The 19426-nt window shown below is 52.2% G+C and overlaps 6 annotated features.

The window, feature by feature from the left end:
- Positions 988-1179: a silencer, noted in NCBI's record as "fragment chr19:4596181-4596372 (GRCh37/hg19 assembly coordinates)". NCBI's record gives its function as "represses an EF-1alpha promoter that drives an FKBP-Casp9 reporter gene in an ReSE screen in K562 erythroleukemia cells {active_cell/tissue: K562}" and the evidence as "EXISTENCE:reporter gene assay evidence [ECO:0000049][PMID:32094911]".
- Positions 2556-2850: an enhancer, noted in NCBI's record as "tiled region #4167; K562 Activating DNase matched - State 4:PromP". NCBI's record gives its function as "activates a minimal TATA promoter and a strong SV40 promoter by Sharpr-MPRA in K562 cells {active_cell/tissue: K562}" and the evidence as "EXISTENCE:reporter gene assay evidence [ECO:0000049][PMID:27701403]".
- Positions 3011-3060: a silencer, noted in NCBI's record as "silent region_9895". NCBI's record gives its function as "represses an Ori minimal core promoter by ATAC-STARR-seq in GM12878 lymphoblastoid cells {active_cell/tissue: GM12878}" and the evidence as "EXISTENCE:reporter gene assay evidence [ECO:0000049][PMID:35858748]".
- Positions 3131-3340: a silencer, noted in NCBI's record as "silent region_9896". NCBI's record gives its function as "represses an Ori minimal core promoter by ATAC-STARR-seq in GM12878 lymphoblastoid cells {active_cell/tissue: GM12878}" and the evidence as "EXISTENCE:reporter gene assay evidence [ECO:0000049][PMID:35858748]".
- Positions 11547-12105: an enhancer, noted in NCBI's record as "H3K4me1 hESC enhancer chr19:4606740-4607298 (GRCh37/hg19 assembly coordinates)". NCBI's record gives its function as "activates a minimal SCP1, AML or CMV promoter by ChIP-STARR-seq in primed H9 embryonic stem cells {active_cell/tissue: H9 hESC(primed)}" and the evidence as "EXISTENCE:reporter gene assay evidence [ECO:0000049][PMID:30033119]".
- Positions 12106-12663: an enhancer, noted in NCBI's record as "H3K4me1 hESC enhancer chr19:4607299-4607856 (GRCh37/hg19 assembly coordinates)". NCBI's record gives its function as "activates a minimal SCP1, AML or CMV promoter by ChIP-STARR-seq in primed H9 embryonic stem cells {active_cell/tissue: H9 hESC(primed)}" and the evidence as "EXISTENCE:reporter gene assay evidence [ECO:0000049][PMID:30033119]".

Raw genomic sequence — 19426 nt, forward strand, 5'->3', positions numbered from 1 at the left:
CACATCCAGCTAATTTTTGTATTTTTAGTAGAGACGGGTTTTGACATGTTGGCCAGGCGGGTCTCGAACTCTTGACCTTAAGTAATCCACCTGCCTCAGCCTCCCAAAGTGTTGGGATTACAGGCATGAGCCACCGCGCCCAGAGATTGTGATTATTATTGACTGGATTATTTTGTGCTGTAAATTGGGTAACCTCCGTCTTCATACCTTAGTTTTCACATCCGTGAAATGGGGTCAGTAATACTTGGGAACACAGAGAGCTGTTACAATAATAGAGTTTATTCATGAAAAGACTTTTTTTATTTTTTCTTTTTGAGATGGAGTTTTGCTCTTGTCACCCAGGCTGGAGTGCAGTGGCGTGATCTCAGCTCACCGCAACCTCTGTCTCCCAGGTTCAAGCGATTCTCCTGCCTCAGCCTCTCGAATAGCTGGGATTACAGTCATGCACAACCATGCCTGGCTATTTTTTGTATTTTTAGTAGAGACAGGGTTTTGCCATGTTGGCCAGGCTCGTCTCGAACTCCTGACCTCAGGTGATCCACCCTCCTCAGCCTCCCAAAGTGCTGGGATTACCGGCATGAGCCACCACACCTGGTCTAATTTTTTTTTTGAAACAGGGTCTCCTGTCGCCCAGGCTGGAGTGCAGTGGCACAATCATGGCTTTCTGCAGCCTCAAACTCCTGGGCTTAAACCAACCTCCAGTGTCAGCCTCTTGAGTAGCTGGGACTACAAGCACGTGTCATCATGTCTGGCTAAAATTTTTATTTTATTTTATTTTTGTAGAGACAGGGTTTCGTCATGTTTCCCAGGCTGATCTGGAACTCCTGGCCTCATGTGATCCTCCTGCCTTGCCTCCCAAAGTTTTACAGAATTACAAAGAATTCACGAATTCTTTGTAATTTGTAAAAAAAATTTACAAAGAATTACAGGCCTGAGCCACCACATCATCTTGTAAGTATTATTATTGGTGGAGATGACCAGAGATGTTGGCTAAATTTCCCAAGGCCACACAGCCGGGCAAGGCCAGAGCTCGGAGTTGAAGCAAGGTCTTTCCAGTGAAGGCTGGGAGCAGTGCCCGGGCTCTCTATGGGGTCAAGAGGGATGGCATCGGGCCTCTGAGGACCCGGCGCCCAGGCTCCAGGGTTAAGCCTGTGTGGCAGCTGAACTTCCGCGGACCTGTCCCTCTAAAATCCCTGGGAAGCAAGGCATCAGGCGTTCCGGAACAGGCGCCTGCTCCTGTCGGGCTGGCGCACACTTGGAGAGACAGCTGGCAGGGGACTGACGGGCCAGGGAGGAGGGGCCTGGGGGGGGGAGGGGGCCTTGGCCAGGAGAAGAGGTCAGGAGCTGCTCCAACCCACCCACCTCCAGATGGGAGCCAAGCGCCTCCTCTTTCGCATTCTCTAACGCCTCTCAATTCCTTCATCCACTTTTGACAAATATTATTCAACACCTACTATATGCCAGGTGCCCTCCTGAACCCTTTAGTTGAGTAATATGTCAGGAGTCCCCTTTACAGATGTGGAGATCAGGCTCAGAAAGCACTGGCCACTTGTCCTGGACAAACAGCAAGAAAATGGCTAAGCTGGGATTGCCAGCCAGGGCTCTTGGTCCTGACTCAGGGCCTTTGCACTGGCTCTTTCCTCTGCCCGGAGCACAGGCGTGAGCCTGCCCCGCCAATGGGGTTTTTTTTTGTTGTTTGTTTTTTTGTTTTTTTTTTTTTTGAGACGGAGTCTCACTCTGTCTCAGGCTGGAGTGCGGTGGTGCGATCTTGGCTCACTGCAACCTCCACCTCCCGGGTTCAAGCGATTCTCCTGCCTCAGCCTCCCGAGTAGCTGGGATTACAGGCGCCCGCCACCAAGCCCGGGTAATTTTTGTATTTTTAGTAGAGACGAGGGTTCACCATGTTGGCCAGGCTGGTCTCGAACTCCTGACCTTGTGATCCGCCGGCCTCGGCTTCCTAAAGTGCTGGGATTACCGGCGTGAGCCACCGTGCCCGGCAGCTAATGGATTTCTTTAGCCCTCAGGTTAGATCACACGTCCTGAGGAAAGCCTTCAGGGAGCCATCATAAACTCCCGTGCGCCCCCCAGCTAGGCCCTCTGACCCCCATCACCGCAATGACCACCTCCCCCACTGAACTGCGAACCGCACTGGGGGCGAGGCCGGCTCTGTCGGGGTCACGTATCCCTGTATCCCTGGCCCCTAGCACAGGTTTGCAGAGCTCACGACTGTAGGTACTAGACGCTCTATATACGAATGAAAGGATGAAGGGATGAAGTCAGAATTTCTGCCCATCGCGCACTTCCATGCTGGGGGAACCCCAGCTCAAGGATGAGGAATCAGGTGCTGAGGTCCACGCTGGGATCTGAAGGGGTCTTCATGGAGGACGGTCCTTCTGGCAGGGTCTCTGCTCAGGGGAGCCCAGCCCGGGACTGGTGTGCCGGGCAGGGGGTCTCTGTAGGGAGAGTCCCTGCCGAAGGGGCTGGAACTGTGCGGGGCGCCCCTGAATGGTCGAACCTGGAGAGCTTTGTTGCTCAGATGAGGAAGGGCCAGGGAGGCCACCCTGGACCAAAGGGTCACGTTTCTATTCTTCCTGGCCCAGAATGGACAGCCCCAGAAGAAGCTGACAGTCGGGGTGCGCCCCGCAAGGGGAGGAGCTGAGAGAGGGGCGGGGCTGAGAGAGGAGGGGGCTGAGGAAGGAGAGGGGGCTGAGAGAGGGGAGGGGCTTAGAGGGGAGGGGTGAGGGAGGAGAAGGGGCCGAGAGGGGGAGACGTTCAGAGGGGAGGGGTGAGGGAGGAGAGGGGGGCTGAGAGACGAGAGGGGCTGAGAGAAGAGAGGGGGCCGAGAGAGGACGGGGTTGAGAGAGGGGAGGGGCTGAAAGTGGTAAAGCTGAGAGGAGAGGGGCGGGGCTGAGAAGAAGGGGCGAGGCGGGAAGGGGCAGGGCTGAGAGAAAATGGGTGGGGCTGAGAGGAGAGGGGCGGGGCTCGGAGGCGGGGGGCGTTGTGGGGCAGGGCTGAGTGGGGCGGGGTTGAGAGGAGAGGAAGCTGAGGTTGGGGAGGGGCGTGGAGAGGGGAGGGGGGGCTCTTCGAGGGGCGGGAACAGGGCTCAAGGAGGCTGAGTGGGGCAGAGGGGGCCGCCTAAGTTCTGTCCTCCCCTGGGGCCCCAGGACACAGGGTCAGGAGTGTATCAAGTCACCGGGTTTCTGACCATCCAGAAACCTGACCGCGTGCGTCCCCGGGGCTCGGGGTCGCCCCTATCCCATGCTCTACCTCCCTCCCTCTCCTCGGGCCCTCCTGGCTCCCTCTGACCTCCCCACCGCCAGTCAGCTGTGTCTGTATTTAGAGCGGTGCAGGCCTGTGTCACTTTACTTCCGAAAGGGATTTTGCATCTCTTAGTGCTGCCTTCAGAACCCCCAACACCTGTTGCGGCGCGAGCCCGTGCCACGGGGAGGGGGTGGTCTCGCTTCTGGAGCCACTGTGGGGGAGGAGGCTCAGCTGCCTCCCCTCCCCGAGAACCTTCTCCCTTTGTGCACCCCCTCCCTTCTGAGCCCCTTCTCTAAGTCCCCATGTCCCCCTCCCGTCCCGGAGCCCCCCCTTCTCTAAGTCCCCCCGGCCCTGCCCCCTGCCCTCTCGGAGCCCCCTCTCTGCACGCCAACTCAGAGCCGCCTCGTTCCCAGGCTCCCCAAGGCCCCGAGCCCTGCCTGTCCCCCTCCTCCCCTGGCCTGTCCATTGTCCTGGTGAGGGGGTCCTGGAGGCTGGGCGGGCCGGGGTCTGCATGCAGGGGGCGGGAGTCGCCTGCTACCCAGTCGTCTCTGGGCAACGCTGGCAAACCTCACGCCTAGACACAGAGGCTGCGCTGTTCTCTGGGAGGGGACAGGGGGCACAAGGTGACTGGGGAGATGCTGGGGGTGACGGCTGTGGATATGAGTTTTCAGGCAGGGGGTGCCAGAGGCAGCTCCAACTGCTCCAGGTGGGAGAAAGGTTCGAGAGCGTGGCCATGGGAAACGTTGTCCCCCTGCTGTCCCCACGGCGACCTCCAACTCACTCGACATCCTTCCTTCCTCTGCAGGCCCTCCTGCTCTGCCCCATCCCACAGTGGGGTCTTCCATGCCTGCTCTGATATGTTCATCATCACAGCCTTCCCAGTTGGATTTTGCAATTAAACCCACTTTACAGATGAGAAAACCGAGGCCCAGAGAGCATTTGGTGATTGAAGCAGTGAGGAGACCACACTTTTGGGGCTATGGCCCAGGACCCGAGCCCCAACTCTCCTGTTTTCTCTCCACATGACCTAACAGCTTCTCTGAGCCTCAGTTTACTCATCTGTACCGTGGGCAGATGGTGGTACCCATTTCCTGGGCTGTTTTTACTGTGTGGGGAATAAGATGCTTAAACAGTCTAGGGTTCAAACTTGGGTGCCAGTTACCAGCTGTGCAACTGGTCAGGCCATGTTGCCGCTCTGTGCCTCAGTTTCCCCGTCAACAAAATGGGGTCTATAATAGCATCTACTTCATAACGTGGCTGTGACAGTGAAAGTTAATTCTAGGCCGGGCGCGGTGGCTCACGCCTGTAATCCCAGCAATTTGTGAGGCCAAAGTAGGCAGGTCACTTGAGGTTAGGAGTTCAAGACCAGCCTGGCCAACATGGTGAAACCCTGTCTCTATTAAAAATACAAAAATTAGCTGGGTGTGGTGGCGGCCACCTGTAATCCCAGCTACTCAGGAGGCTAAGGCAAGAGAATTGCTCGAACCTGAAAGGCAGAGGTTACGGTGAGCGAAACTCTGTCCAAAAAAAAAAAAAAAAAAAAAAATTAATTCTAGTACATACTGGCTTGTAGAAAACCCTTTATAAATGTTATTGTTACTATATTTTTTCCTTCTGAGTTTGTGCCTTTTTTCTTTTTTGGTGATAGGGTCTCCCTCTGTCACTCAGGCTGGAGTGCAATAGAGTGGTCTCAGCTCACTGCAGCCTCCAACTCTCAGGCTCAAGTTATCCTCCTGCCTCAGCCTCCCGAGTAGGTGGGACTACAGATGTGCGCCGCCACGCCTGGCTGTTTTATTTTTTTGTAGAGACAGGGTCTCGCAATGTTGCCCAGGCTGGTCTCGAACTCAGGCTTAGGTGATCCTCCCGCTTCGGCCTCTGAAAATGCTGGGATTCCAGGCATGAGCCTCCGCACCTGGCTTGAGTTTGTGCTTTCTATGAGGTTCAGAGAGGCTTGTGTGTGGGGAGGTCATCGTCCCAGGCCCTTCCAGGCCCTCAGGCTTGGAGTTAGGGATTGAGGGTGTGAGATGGTTCCCTGGGGTAACTCTATCTGGGAACCAGTCCCCGTGCCTGTTGAGTGATATAGTGGATTCCACTGCCACACCTTCTGTCTCCCCTGCCTGAACTGTGTAGACGACCCAGGGCCCCTGATGGTGAGGACTCTGAGTCTGCCCCTGTCAGGGTAATTGCCAGAGAGTGCACAGAGCAAAGCCTCCATAGCTCCCACCCTGGACTGTGACTCCCTGGGTGCAGAGGGGGTGCAGACCCTGTTTTCTGCACATAAACAGGTGCACCTGTTGGGTCCTCACTTGAGGCTGCTGGGCCAGCAGCCCCCTAGCTCTCCCACTACAAGCAGAGGGGAGAAGGGGCATAGCTGCCCCCTCCGCCTGCCACAGCAGTCACCAAGGTTCCTGCCAGCTGCTCCCTTCTCAGAGTTCACTGGGCATCAGCCTGTCAGGCACTCACAGCCGTGCCCTACCTCCTGGGGTTACCATAAACATACATTAACAGCCCCATCCAGCACTTATTGAACCCGATATGCAACATGTGTAATTGCATGCAATCCCCCCCAACAGTCCCCAAGGAGGCAGGTGCTATTATCAGCCTCATTTTATAGATGGGAAACAGGCTCAGAGAGGTTCTGTCACTTGGCCAAGGTCACACAGCAGGGAAGTCACAGAGCAGGGATTCAAACTCCAGGCTGCATTCTTTATTTTTTTATTTTTTATTTTTTCTGAGACAGGGTCTTACTCTGTTGCCCAGGCTGTAGTGCAGTGGCTCGATCTCGGCTTACTGCAACCTCTGTGTCCCGGGCTCAGGTGATCTTCCCACCTCAGCCTCCTGAGCAGCTGGGACTACAGGTTTGCACCACCACACCTGGCTAACTTTTGCGTTTTTTTGTAGAGACAGGGTTTCTCCATGTTGCCCAGGCTGGTCTTGAACTCCTGGGCTCAAGCAATCCTCCCACCTTGGCCTCCCAAAGTGTTGGGATTACAGGTGTGAGCCACCGCACCCAGCCCAGGCTGCACTCTTAACCACCACCCTTTGCTGTCTGTCACAACAAATAACAACTGTGTGTGGCCTGAGGCCACTGTGCAAAACTTGGAGGTCTGTGCTCTCATCAGCCTCACTGTGCAGAGGAGGAAAGCAAGGGCCAGAGACAGGGAGGGCCTGGCTCAAGGGCACAAAGCAGGCAGGGGGAGGAATAAAGATGAGCATAAGGGTTAGCCTGCCTCTGAGTGAATGAGTGCATGAGGTAGGGAGGGAGTGAGGGTGGTTGGATCGGTGGATGGATGGGTAGAAAGGTGGTGAATAGGAGCTGGGCGTGGTGGCTCACGCCTGTAATCCCAGCACTTTGGGAGGCTGAGGTGGGCAGATCACCTGAGGTCAGGAGTTCAAGACCAGCCTGACCAACAAGGTGAAACCTCGTCTCTACTAAAAATACAAAAATTAGCCAGGCATGGTGGTGGGCACCTGTAATCCCAGCTACCTGGGAGGCTGAGGCAGGAGAATCACTTGAACCCAGGAGGCAGAGCTTTCAGTGAGCCGAGACCGTGCCACTGCACTCCAGCCTGGCAGCCTGGGTGACAGAGTGAGACTCCATCTCAAAAAAAAAAAAAAAAAAAGGTGGTGAATGGATGGGTGATTAGATAGATGGATGTATGGATGAGTGAATAAATGAATGGATGGATTATGGATGGATTATGGATGAATGGATGAGCGGGTGGATGGATGGATGGATGGATGGATGAATAGAGAGGTGGGTGGGCAGGTTGGTCAGTAAATGGATGTATGGATTTGTGAAATGATAGTTGTATGGACGATGGATGGATGGATGGATGAACAGATGAATGTATGCATTATGGGTGAGCGGACTGATAAATGGGTGCAGGTGTGGATTACGGATGGATAGATGGATGGATGGATGAATAGAGAGGTAGGTGGGTAGGTAGGTGGGTAAGTGGATGTATGTATTTGCGAGAGGATGGATGTATGGATTATGGATGGATGGATGAACAGGTGAATGTATGGATTGTAGGTGGGTGGATTGATAAATGGGTGCAGGTATGAATTATAGATGGATGAATGGATGTATGGATGAGTGGATGGATGAATGGATTATGGATGGATGGATGAATGGGTAGGTGGATAGATGGATGAGTGAATGGATGGGAGGGCGGATGGTTATATGGATTATGGGTGGATTAATGGGTGGGTTAGTGGATAAATATATGGATTATGGATGGATGGATGGATGAGTAAATGGATGAATGGATGGGTGGATAGATGGATGTGTGGGTGGATGGATGGATGGGTGAGTGCATGGATATATGGATTATGGATGGATGGATTTGGATAGATGGATGAGTGGATGGGTGGGTGGATGGATGGATGGATGGATGGATGGATGGGAGTATTGATGGGTGGGTGGATGGATGGATTGATGGGAGGGTGGATGGATGGGTGAGTGGATGGATATATGGATTATGGATGGATAGTTGGATAGACAGATGAGTAGATGGATGGATGGGTAGATTGATGGGTGGGTAGATGGATGGATGGATTGATGGGTGGATGGATGGATGGGTGAGTGGATGGATATATGGATTATAGATGGATGGTTGGATAGATAGATGAGTAGATGGATGAGTGGATGGATATATGGATTATAGATGGATGGTTGGATAGATGGATGAGTAGATGGATGGATGGGTGAGTGGATGGATGGATGGGTGAGTGGATGGATATATGGATTATGGATGGATGGATCTGGATAGATGGATGAGTGGATGGGCGGGTGGATGGATGGATGGATGGGAGGATTGATGGGTGGGTGGATGGATGGATGGATTGATGGGAGGATGGATGGATGGGTGAGTGGATGGATATATGGATTATAGATGGATGGTTGGATAGATAGATGAGTAGATGGATGGGTGGATGGGTGAGTGGATGGATATATGGATTATAGATGGATGGTTGGATAGATGGATGAGTAGATGGATGGATGGATGGATGGATGGGTAGATTGATGGGTGGGTGGATGGATGGATGGGTGGGTGTGTGGATGGATATATGGATTATTGGTGGGTGGATGGATGGATGAGTTAGTGGGTGGGTATATGGATTACTGGTGGATGTATTAATGGGTGAGTGAATGGATATATGGATTACTGGTGGATGGATGGATGGATTGTTTTTCACCCTTCCTCTGTAGGGAGCTCTAAGCTTGGTTCACACAGCAGATGGGGTGAGAGGGTGGTGGGTGGGATAGACACTACTGGAGTCAGTTCCAAGTAGGTAGAGAAGGATTCTGGAATCAATTCCAGGGCAGCATCTAAGAGAGCATCCAGCCATTCACTCCTTCAGCAAACACGTATTGAGCACCTGCTGCATGCCAGGTGCTCTTCTAGGCACTGGGCGTCTGTCCGGCAGGGAACAGAGCAGACAAAATCCCTCTCCTGTGGGGCTGACAACTTCAGGAGGGCGTGGGGGGTGTGAGAGCCCCATTGGAGCAGGTTTAGGAGGGAACAGGAAATGGGGAAGTGGAGACAGCAAGTGTTGATGGGTCTCGGAATTTTACTATAAAAAGAACCAGGCCGGGTGCGGTGGCTCACGTCTGTAATCCCAGCACTTTGGGAGGCCGAGGCGGGTGGATCACTCTACGTCAAGAGTTCGAGACCAGCCTGGCCAACATGGCGAAACCCCGTCTCTACTAAAAATACAAAAATTAGCTGGGCGTGGTGGCATATGCCTGTAATCCCAGCTACTCAGGAGGCTGAGGCAGGAGAATTGCTTGAACTCGGGAGGTGAAGGTTGCAGTGAGCTGAGATCACGCCACTGCACTCCAGCTTGGGCAACAGAGTGAGACTCTGTCTCAAAACAAACAAACAAAAAATCATTACCCTAATGCGGGTTATTACAAGTTCCTGATGCTTCAGACAATTCTCCAATGGCCCCAGAGTCTGTCGTGCCCTTTCCCACAAGGTTAAAAGTGACAGCAGGCCTGTAATCCCAGCATTTTGGGAGGCCGAGGTGGGTGGATCATGAGGTCAGGAGATCGAGCCCATCCTGGCTAACACGGTGAAACCCCGTCTCTACTAAAAATACAAAAAATTAGCCGGGCGTGGTGGTGGGCGCCTGTAGTCCCAGCTACTCGGGAGGCTGAGGCAGGAGAACGGCGTGAACCCGGGAGGCAGAGCTTGCAATGAGCCAAGATCGCGCCACTGCACTGCAGCCTGGGCGACAGGGCAAGACTCCGTCTCAAAAAAACGAAAAACAAAACAAAACCAAACAAAAAAAGTGACAGCAGGCAGCCAGGGCCTCACAGCCCAAGGTCTAGTCCCAAGGGTCTCCATTTAGAAGTTGTTGGTTTTTATTTTAATGTGTTGGTTTGAAAGTCCTGGAGGCTGCAGGTTCTTGCATCTCAGCCCTAGAGGAGTAATGAAGCTTCTCCAGGGAGAATGAGAAGCTGGAAACAGCTTCAAGAAATCGGGTTACTGAGGCAGGGACAGGCCTGATGAAGGCTGGGAGGTGGGAGACCCCTGTCTGGCCTATCCCACCTGCCAGTTTATAGATTATGTGTGACAGGGGGCAGCACCCAGGAGCCGGGCTGAATCCTTTCAGCTAATGGACATTTATGGCGTGCACAGCAGGTGCAAAGGCTCTGGGGCCACGTGGAGCATGGACTGTTACAGAAATGGTTACAGGTTCCTGAATTAGCCCATTTTCTTTTCGTCTCAGAGCCTCATTTACCCCATCTGTGTAATGGACATAAGAGAACCTATCTTTCTAAGTTGTGTGCATATGTTTTCACCACGTTCAGACTGTGTGTGTGTGTGTGTGTGTTACCTGTGTCCTCCCCAAAACACTTTAACATTCACTCGTTTTTTTCCTTGGAGACAGGGTCTCTCTGTCACCCAGGTTGGATTACAGTGGCACAATCACAGCTCACTGCAGCATTGAACTCTTGGGCTCAAGCAATCCTCCTGCCTCAGCCTCCTGGGTAGCTAGGACCACAGGCATGTGCCACCATGCCTAGCTAATTTTTAATTTTTTTTTTTAGAGGTGGGGTCTTGTGGTCAGGCGTGGTGGCTCGTGCCTGTAATCCCAGCACTTTGGGAAGCTGAGGTGGGCAGATCACTTGAGGTCAGGAGTTCGAGACCAGTCTGGACAACATGGTAAAACCTGTAATCCCAGCTACTCAGGAGGCTGAGGCAGGAGAATCACTTGAACCCAGGAGGCTGAGGTTGCAATGAGCTGAGATCCTGCCACTGCAATCACTCCAGCCTGGGCAGCAAAGCGACACTCTTTTTTTTTTTTTTAAAGATGGAATTTCGCTCTTGTGGCCCAGGCTGGAGTGCAATGGCACGATCTCGGCTCACTGCAACCTCCGCCTCCTGGGTTCAAGCGATTCTCCTGGCTTCAAGTGATTCTCCTGGCTCAGCCTCCTGGGTAGCTGGGACTATAGACGCCCGCCACCACGCCCGGCTAATTTTTGTATTTTCAGTAGAGGCGGGGTTTCACCATTTTGGTGAGGCCAGTCTCGATCTCCTGACCTCGTGATCCACCCACCTCGGCCTCCCAAAGTGCTGGGATTACAGGCGTGAGCCACTGCGCCCAGCCCGCAACAGTCTGTCTTAAAAAATAAAATAAAATAAAATAATAATTTTAAAAAGTTAGATGGGGTCTTGCTATTGCCCGGGCTTGTCATGAACTCCTGGCCACAAGCAATCCTCCCCTCTCAGCCTCCCAAAGTGCTGGAATTACAGGCGTGAGCCACTGTGCCCAGCCCCAATGTTCACTTTTTTAAAATTAGGTTTACTCTCTCTCACCATTTGAATGTCAGCTCTACAAGGACAGCAATCTGCGTGTTCTATTCACTACTGAAACTGCACAGCCTGGCATACAGTAGGTGCTCAATACTTGTGGAAATGCATAAGTGATAACCTCCACAGAACACTAAGTACAGGCTAGAGCCGGGCTTCAGCATTTCCTAGGCATGCATTTATTTAATTACCCCAAGAAGCCCCGTGAGAAAGGTGGTATTAGAGGCTGGGCATGGTGGCTCACACCTATAATCCCAGCTATTTGGGAAGCTGAGGTGGGTGGATCACCTGAGGTCAGGAGTTCGAGACCAGCCTGGCCAACATGGCGAAACCCCGTCTCTACTAAAAATTCAGAAATTAGCCAGGTCTGGTGGTCGGTGCCTGTAATCCCAGCTACTTGGGAGGCTGAGGCAGGAGAATCACTTGAACCCGGGAGGTGGAGGTTGCAGTAAGCTGAGATCGCGCCACTGCACTCCAGCCTGGGAGACAGCGAGACTCGGTCTCAAAAACAACAACAACAAAAAGGTAGTAGTATTAGGATCCCATTTTATAGACGGGAAAATTGAGGCATAGAGCTGTTAGATTTGAGCCCCCCCACTCCCCTCTCCTCCCCCCACCCCCGCCCCCCCACCACCCCGAGTCCAGCCCCTGTGTGCTACCACCTCTGGCTCTGGACCTGTGGGTTTGTCAACACGTGTTCTTGGCATGACCAGGTGCAGGAACATCACACATACCAGGAGCTTGCACGGGTCTGGGGTGGGGGCCACATCAGCCTCCGGAACCTGAGCCTGCAGGGCAGCGCGTGCCCCAGTCCCGGGGGCCACAGGAGGGAGCGCGTAGGTAGAGGCGGCGGGTCCAATCTCCACGCCTTGTTCCCTCTCCGGGAGCCGGCTTCCCTCCCGCCTGCCTCGGCCTGGACCCGGCCCAGCTGCTGACCTCGGGAACTCGAGTGCCCCCAGGGACGCAGACAATCAATTAGAATTGGCAGCGCCTGCCTAAGTAAAAGGCCTGCTTTAATGAGGAGGCTGTGGCTCTGCCGTGGGCGCAGGCGCTGGGCTGAGCCCGGCGCGGGCTGGAGCTGAGGGGTCACGTGGCCACCAGGGCCCACCTGCCTGTCACAATTATGAGTCCCCGTGTGTGAGCTCATTATGTTTATCATTAGGCCAGGGCTATTTACAGATCGGGGAGAGCAGCCCCTTGTCATGCAAGCCGCAGACATTTATTGAGCACCAGCTGTGTGCTAGGTCATGTGCTGGGTTCGAGGAAACAGTAGGGACAAGACGCCCTCCAGTGGGGGCCAGGGGAGACATCAGGGTGGGCTTCCTGGAGGAGGCAACACATACACTGAGATTGGAATGATGACTCGAAATTCGGTCCTGAAGAAGGGAAGGGAAGAGGATTGTCGAGGCCTGGTTAAGAATGAGGCCAGGTGCGGTGGCTCACGCCTGTAATCCCAGCACTTTGGGAAGCTGAGGTGGGTGGATCACCTGAGGTCAGGAGTTCCAGACCAGCCTGGCCAACATGGTGAAACCCCAAATCTACTAAAAATACAAAAATTAGCTGGGCGTGGTAGCGGGTGCCTGTGATCCCAACTACTCGGGAGGCTGAGGCAGGAGAATTGCTTGAACCCGGAAGGCGGAGGTTGTGGTGAGCCGAGATTGCGCCATTGCACTCCAGTGTGGGCAACAGAGCAAAACTCCATCTCAAAAAAAAGAAAAAAGAATGAGCGCAGCCTGGGTTGTGGCGGGGGGGGCTCCTACCTGTAATCCCAGTGCTTTGGGAGGCTGAAGTGGGAGGATCACTTGAGGCCAGGAGTTAAAGACCAACCTGGGCAACATAGTCAGACCCCCATCACAAAAAAAATAAAAAAATTAGCCAGGTGTGGTGGCGCACATCTATAGTCCAGCTACTTGGGAGGCTGAGATGGGAGGATTGCTTCAGCCCAGGAGGTCGAGGCTGTAGTGAGCAATGATTGTGTCTCTGCACTCCAGCCTGGGTGGCAGAGTGAGACCCCATCTCAAAACAAAAAATTGAATTAGTTCCCGTGTACGGGTTGTTCAAAGCAAGATAACACAGCAAAGGACCATGAAGCCTGCAGATGAATTTCATCTCGAGGTCCTGAATCAATTACATCTGCAAAGACCCTATTTCCAAAAAAGCTCATATTCTGAGGTTCTGGGTGTGTATAATTTTTTTTTTTCAGACAGGGTCTCACTCTGTTGCCCAGGCTGGAGTGCAGTGGTGTGATCTCGGCTCACTGCAGCCTTTACCTCCCCGGTTGACGTGATTCTCCTGCCTCAGCCTCCTGAGTAGCTAGGATTACAGGCAGCTGCCACCATGCCCGGCTAATTTTTGTATTTGTATTTTTATTACTTATGATCTTTTTCCTGAGACCAAGTCTCACTCTGCCACCCAGGCTGGAGTGCAGTTGTGTGATCTTGGCTTACTGCAACCTCTGCCTTCTGGGTTCAAGCGGTTCTCCTGTCTCAGCCTCCCGAGTAGCTGGGACTACAGGCGTGTGCTACCACCCCCGGCTAATTTTTGTATTTTTAGTAGAGACGGGGTTTCATCATGTTGGCCAGGCTGGCCTCGAACTCCTGACCTCAAGTGATCCATCTGCCTCGGCCTCCCAAAGTGCTGAGATTATTACAGGTGTGAGCCACCGTGCCCGACCTATTTATTTATTTATTTTTGAGACGCAGTCTCGCTCGTCACGAGGCTGGGGTGCAGTGGCGCGATCTTGGCTCACTGCAACCTCTGCCTCCTGGGTTCAAATGATTCCCCTGCCTCAGCCTTCTGAGTAGCTTGGACTACAGCCGTGTGTCACCATGCCTGGCTAATATATATTTTTTTTTTTTGTATTTTAGTAGAGACAAGATTTCTCTATGTTGGCCAGGATGGTCTCGATCTCCTGACCTCATGTTCCACCCACCTCGGCCTCCCAAAGTGCTGGGATTACAGGCATGAGCCATCGCGCCCGGGCTTTTATTTTAATTTCTATTTATTTATTTATTTTGAGATGGAGTTTCACTCTTGTTGCCTAGGCTGGAGTGCAGTGGCACAATCTCAGCTCACTGCAACCTCTGCCTCCCAGGTTCAAGTGATTCCCCTGCCTCGGCCTCCTGAATAGCTGAGATTACAGGCACTCACCACCATGCCTGGCTAATTTTTGTATTTTTAGTAGAGACGGGGTTTCACCATGTTGGCCGGGCTGGTCTCAAATTCCTGACCTCAAGTGATTCGTCCACCTCATCCTCCCAAAATGCTGAGATTACAGGCTTGAACCACCGCGCCCAACCGAGGTGTATGTATTTTTTTTTTTTTTTTTTTTTTTTTGAGACAGAGTCTCGCTCTGTCGCCCAGGCTGGAGTACACTGGGATGATCTTGGCTCACTGCAACCTCTGCCTTCCAGATTCAAGCGATTCTCCTGCCTCAGCCTCTCGAGTAGCTGGGACTACAGACGCGTACTGCCACGCCCAGCTAATTTTTTGTATTTTTAGTAGAGACGGGGTTTCACTGTGTTAGCCAGGATTGTCTCGATCTCCTGACCTCGTGATCCACCCGCCTCAGCCTCCCAAAGTGCTGGGAGTACAGGCCTGAGCCACCGGTCCCAACCGAAGTGTATGTAATTTTTGAATTTATTTTTGCAGGCAGGCACTACTCAACATGGTACAATGTGTGCTTGTTCCTATCTGCCTCCTGCTCTGGAATGTCAACTCCAGGAGGGCAGACTTCTGTCTGTCTTGAATGCCACAGTGTCCCCTGTACCTCAAATACTGTTTGGCACACAGTAGGCACTCAATACGTGTTTGTTTATTCCGCAAACAACTATGAAGCACCCACTGTGTTGTTCTCACACGGAGGTGGAGTTTTTCATGCTCCGAGGACTTGGGGCAGAGAGAAGGACAAGTAGGAGCCACGGTGACTGCGACTTCCTTTTTTTTTTCTGCAGCCTCAGGTGCCAGCAGCAATAACACAGGACCTCTAGGCAGAGGAAGGGAAGAGGCGCTGAGGGAGGCAGGGCTTCTGCGGCGGGGAGGGGGGGGCAGAGCCCCTGGGGATCAGGCCAGGGAGGCGGGAGTCCTGCTGGAGTCCCTGGGGTCCCCAGCAGAGAGGCTGGCTGGCTGCCCTGCCCTGGCCTGGCTGCTTTTTCTGGCTTGGACGGGAAGGGCTGACACCGCCAGAGGAGGGCAGGGTGGAGGCGGGGAGGGGGCCCGCACCTGGACCCAGGAAGAGGTGGGGGAAAGAAGTGGAGCCTGGGAAGGGGAGACAGAGGAGGTGAGGAGAGAAAGAGAGAAACCAAGAGAGATAGAAAGAGACCCACACAGAGAAGCTGAGCTGGAGTCAGACAGATAAAAGACACGGAGAGACTCACGCAGAAGGTGGCAAAGACAGAAACACAGAGAGATGGACAGAGACAGTCAGAGATAAAGGGAGACTCAGAGAGACAGAGGAGACCCACAGAGATACAGACTCAGAGAGATAGAGAGACACAGACCTAGAGAGAGAGAGAACAACAGAGACAGAGATAGAAAGAGATAGTCAGAGATAAAAGGAGACTCAGAGAGATGGAGAATTAGCCGGGCGTGGTGGCGGGCGCCTGTGATCCCAGCTACTCGGGAGGCTGAGGCAGGAGAATCGCTTGAACCCGGGAGGCAGAGGTTGCAGTGAACCGAGATTGCACCACTGCACTCCAGCCTGGGAGACAGAGGGAGACTGTCCCCCCGCCAAAAAAGAGAGAGAGAGAGAGAGACAAAGAGACTTAGAGAGAGAGAGAGAGGGAAAGAAAGACAGGGATAAAAGTAGATTCAAAGAGACAGAGAGAAAACAAGAGAAAGGAGACCAATAGAGATCAAAAGAGGTAGTCAGAGATAAAAAGAGACTCAGAGAGACCTAGAGACAGAGAAAGACAGAGACAGAGACTTAGAAAGAGAATGGGGAAGAAACAGAGAGATAGAGGCAGGCGAGAGGCTCCCTAGCCCATCCCCCTCCCCAATTTTCCTCTCTGGGGCACCCCTGGGGTCTGGGGCTCTAACCCTGTCCTGGTCCCCACCCCTCCCCCTAGCTGGTACTTCAGACCCCCTCCACAAACTGGCTGAGTGCCCCCAGTCCCTAACTCAGGGTCTCCTCAGCTCAGAGCTCCGGGGCTCAGCCCTGAGACCTTCTGGGATTCAGGATCCGAATGCCCAGTGGAGCCAGAATCTGAATCCCAGAGGCAGGGACACCATTAATCCTGGAAAGAGGGCACCCCCTCCACCCGGGCCTGAGCTGAGAGCGGGGAGGCTGTCTATATGAAGCCCCCACTTCACACTTCCCACAGGAGAGATTCACCCTGTTTCACAGGGGAGGAAACTGAGGCTTGGAGAAAGACGGGATTGTGGAGAGGTACACGTTTGTTCATCCAGAAAATATGCACTGAGATGGGCGCAGTGGCTCATGCCTGTAATCCCAACACTTTGGGAGCCCGAGGTGGGCAGATCACCTGAGGTCAGGAGTTCGAGACCAGCCTGACCAACATGATGAAACCCCGTCTCTACTTAAAAATACAAAAATTAGCCGGGCGTGGTGGCGGGCGCCTGTAATCCCAGCTACTCAGGAGGCTGAGGGAGGAAAATCGCTTGAACCTGGGAGGCAGAGGTTGCAGTGAGTGGAGATCACGCCACTGCACTCCAGCCTGGGTGACAGAGTGAGACTCCGTCTCAAAAAAAAGAAAGAGAAAAAAATGAGAGCGGGAAAGAAAGAAAGAATACTGGGTATCATATAATTGACTCATAAATATTTCAATTTTTCAATTTGTATCTTTTTTTTTTTTTTTGAGACAGAGTTTCTCTCTTGTTGCACAGGCTGGCGTGCAATGGCGCAATCTCGGCTCACTGCAACCTCCACTTCCTGGGTTCAAGCAGTTCTCCTTCCTCTAACTGGGATTATAGGAGTGCGCTACCACGCCTGGCTAATTTTGTATTTTTAGTAAAGACAGGGTTTTACCACATTGATCAGGCTAGTCTTGAGCTCCTGACCTCAAGTGATTCACCTGCCTAGGCCTCCCAAAGAGCTGGTATTATAGGCATGACCAATTGGTATCTTTAAAAGATAAGGAGGACTATGCTGAAAATTTTAACAATGGCCACCTGCAGTGGCTCATGCCTGTAATCCCAGCACTTTGAGAGGCTGAGGCAGGTGGATCACTGGAGGCCAAGAGTTCGAGACCAACCTGGCCAACATGGTGAAATGCCATTTCTAATAAAAATACAAAAATTAGCTGGGCGTGGTGGCAGGGGCCTGTAATCCCAGCTACATGGGAGGCTGAGGCAGGACAATCATTTGAACCAGGGAGGCAGAGGTTCCAGTGAGCCGAGATCGTGCCACTGCACTCCAGCCTGGGCAACAGAATGAGACGGAGTCTTGCTCTGTCACCCAGGCTGGAGTGCAGTGGCACGATCTTAGGTCACTGCAAGCTCTGCCTCCCAGGTTCACGCCATTCTCCTACCTCAGCCTCCTGAGTAGCTGGGACTACAGGCATATGCCACCACGCCCGGCTAATTTTTGTATTTTTAGCAGAGACGGGGTTTCACCATGTTAGCCAGGATGGTCTCGATCTCCTGACCTCGTGATCCACCCACCTTGGCCTCTCAAAGTGCTGGGATTACAGGTGTGAGCCACCGTGCCTGGCCAACAATAATTTTATTCTATCAGCAAATATCTCATCGGCCTCAAATTTCTATCAAAAGTGTCATAATTTTTTTTACAGTTTGGAGCATGATCCAAATACAGTTCACACATGTATTTGGTTGATATGTCTTTTTTTTTTTTTTTTTTGAGACCGAGTCTTGCTCTGTCACCCAGGCTGGAGTGCGGTGGCGTGATCTCGGCTCACTGCAATCTCCACCTCCCGGGTTCACGCCATTCTCCTGCCTCAGCCTCCTGAGTAGCTGGGACTGCAGGCACCCACCGCCACACCCTGCAAATTTTTTGTATTTTTAGTAGAGACGGGGTTTCACCATGTTAGCCAGAATGGTCTTGATTTCCTGACCTCGTGATCCACCCGCCTTGGCCTCTCAAAATGCTGGGATTACAGGCGTGAGCCACCGTGCCTGGCTGCTTGATATGTCTTAAAGTTTCTTTTAGCCTATAGGTTCCTATCCATCGCTTTCTCTTCTTTTTTTTTTTCGTGTAATTTATTTGCTGATGATGCATTATTTTATTTTAGGTGTATTCAAAAGAACATACACATGGATTTTGTTTATTCTTTGTTGTTTCTATGTATGCAATCTGACAGCCTATGTCTTTTAAGCGATCAGTTTAATTCATTTATATTTATTGTGTTTGCCAACATATTTGGCTTTATTTTCATCACTTTCTTTGATTGTATTTTATAGTTAATATGAATTTTTTCTGCTGCTTCCTTTTCATCTTCTCTTCAACCTTCTGCTGAATTTGCCAGATTTTCTTTGTTCCTTCTCTTTTTTTTTTTTTTTTGAGACAAGAGTTTCGCTCTTTTTGCCCAGGCTAGAGTGCAATGGCGTGATCTTGGCTCACTGAAACCTCTGCCTCCCAGGTTCAAGCGATTCTCCGGCCTCAGCCTCCCAAGTAGCTGGGATTACAGGCGCCCACCACCAAGCCTAGTTAATTTTATATTTTTAGTAGGGATTGGGGTTTTACTACGTTGGCCAGGCTTCAAACTGTAAAAAAAATTGGGTCTCAAACTCCTGACTTCATGTGATCCACCCGCCTTGACCTCCCAAAGTGCTGGGATTACAGGCATGAGCCACCGTGCCCGGCCCAAGCCCAGCCAATTTAATATTTAAAGTAGAGATAGGATTTTACCATGTTGGCCAGGCTGGTCTTGGACTCCTGACCCCAGGTGATCTGTCCGCCTCGGCCTCCCAAAGTGCTGAGATTGCAGGTATGAGCCACCGAGCCTGGCCTTCTTTGTTCCTTTCTTATTCCCCCTCATGATTTGGAAGTTATGCATTCCATTTCTGCCTTTGAGTAGTCACCCTTACACTCTTACCATGTATACTTAGCTTACAATAACTGGAAGTTAATCAACATCTCTTTGTTCCTCCGAATGAGACAAGGACTTCAGATGTGTACATACTGGAGCTTTCCTCCACTCTGCATGTCACTTTTATCCCATATTTGAGTTCTGCCTTGGCACACCTAAGGATGGAGATGAGGACAGGGGGTGGTGTGTGCCCATGTGGGTCACCATTCTCCCAGATGGATGGCAGATGTGGAGATGGATTCCAGAGACCCTAACTGTCTGTGAGTTCAGGCAGGTTCTGCATTGGGCCTCAGTTTCCCCATTTGTAGGACAGCACTGAGTCCCTCTAGGGCT

Source organism: Homo sapiens, chromosome 19, assembly GCF_000001405.40.
Source record: "Homo sapiens chromosome 19, GRCh38.p14 Primary Assembly".
NCBI lineage: Eukaryota > Metazoa > Chordata > Mammalia > Primates > Hominidae > Homo > Homo sapiens.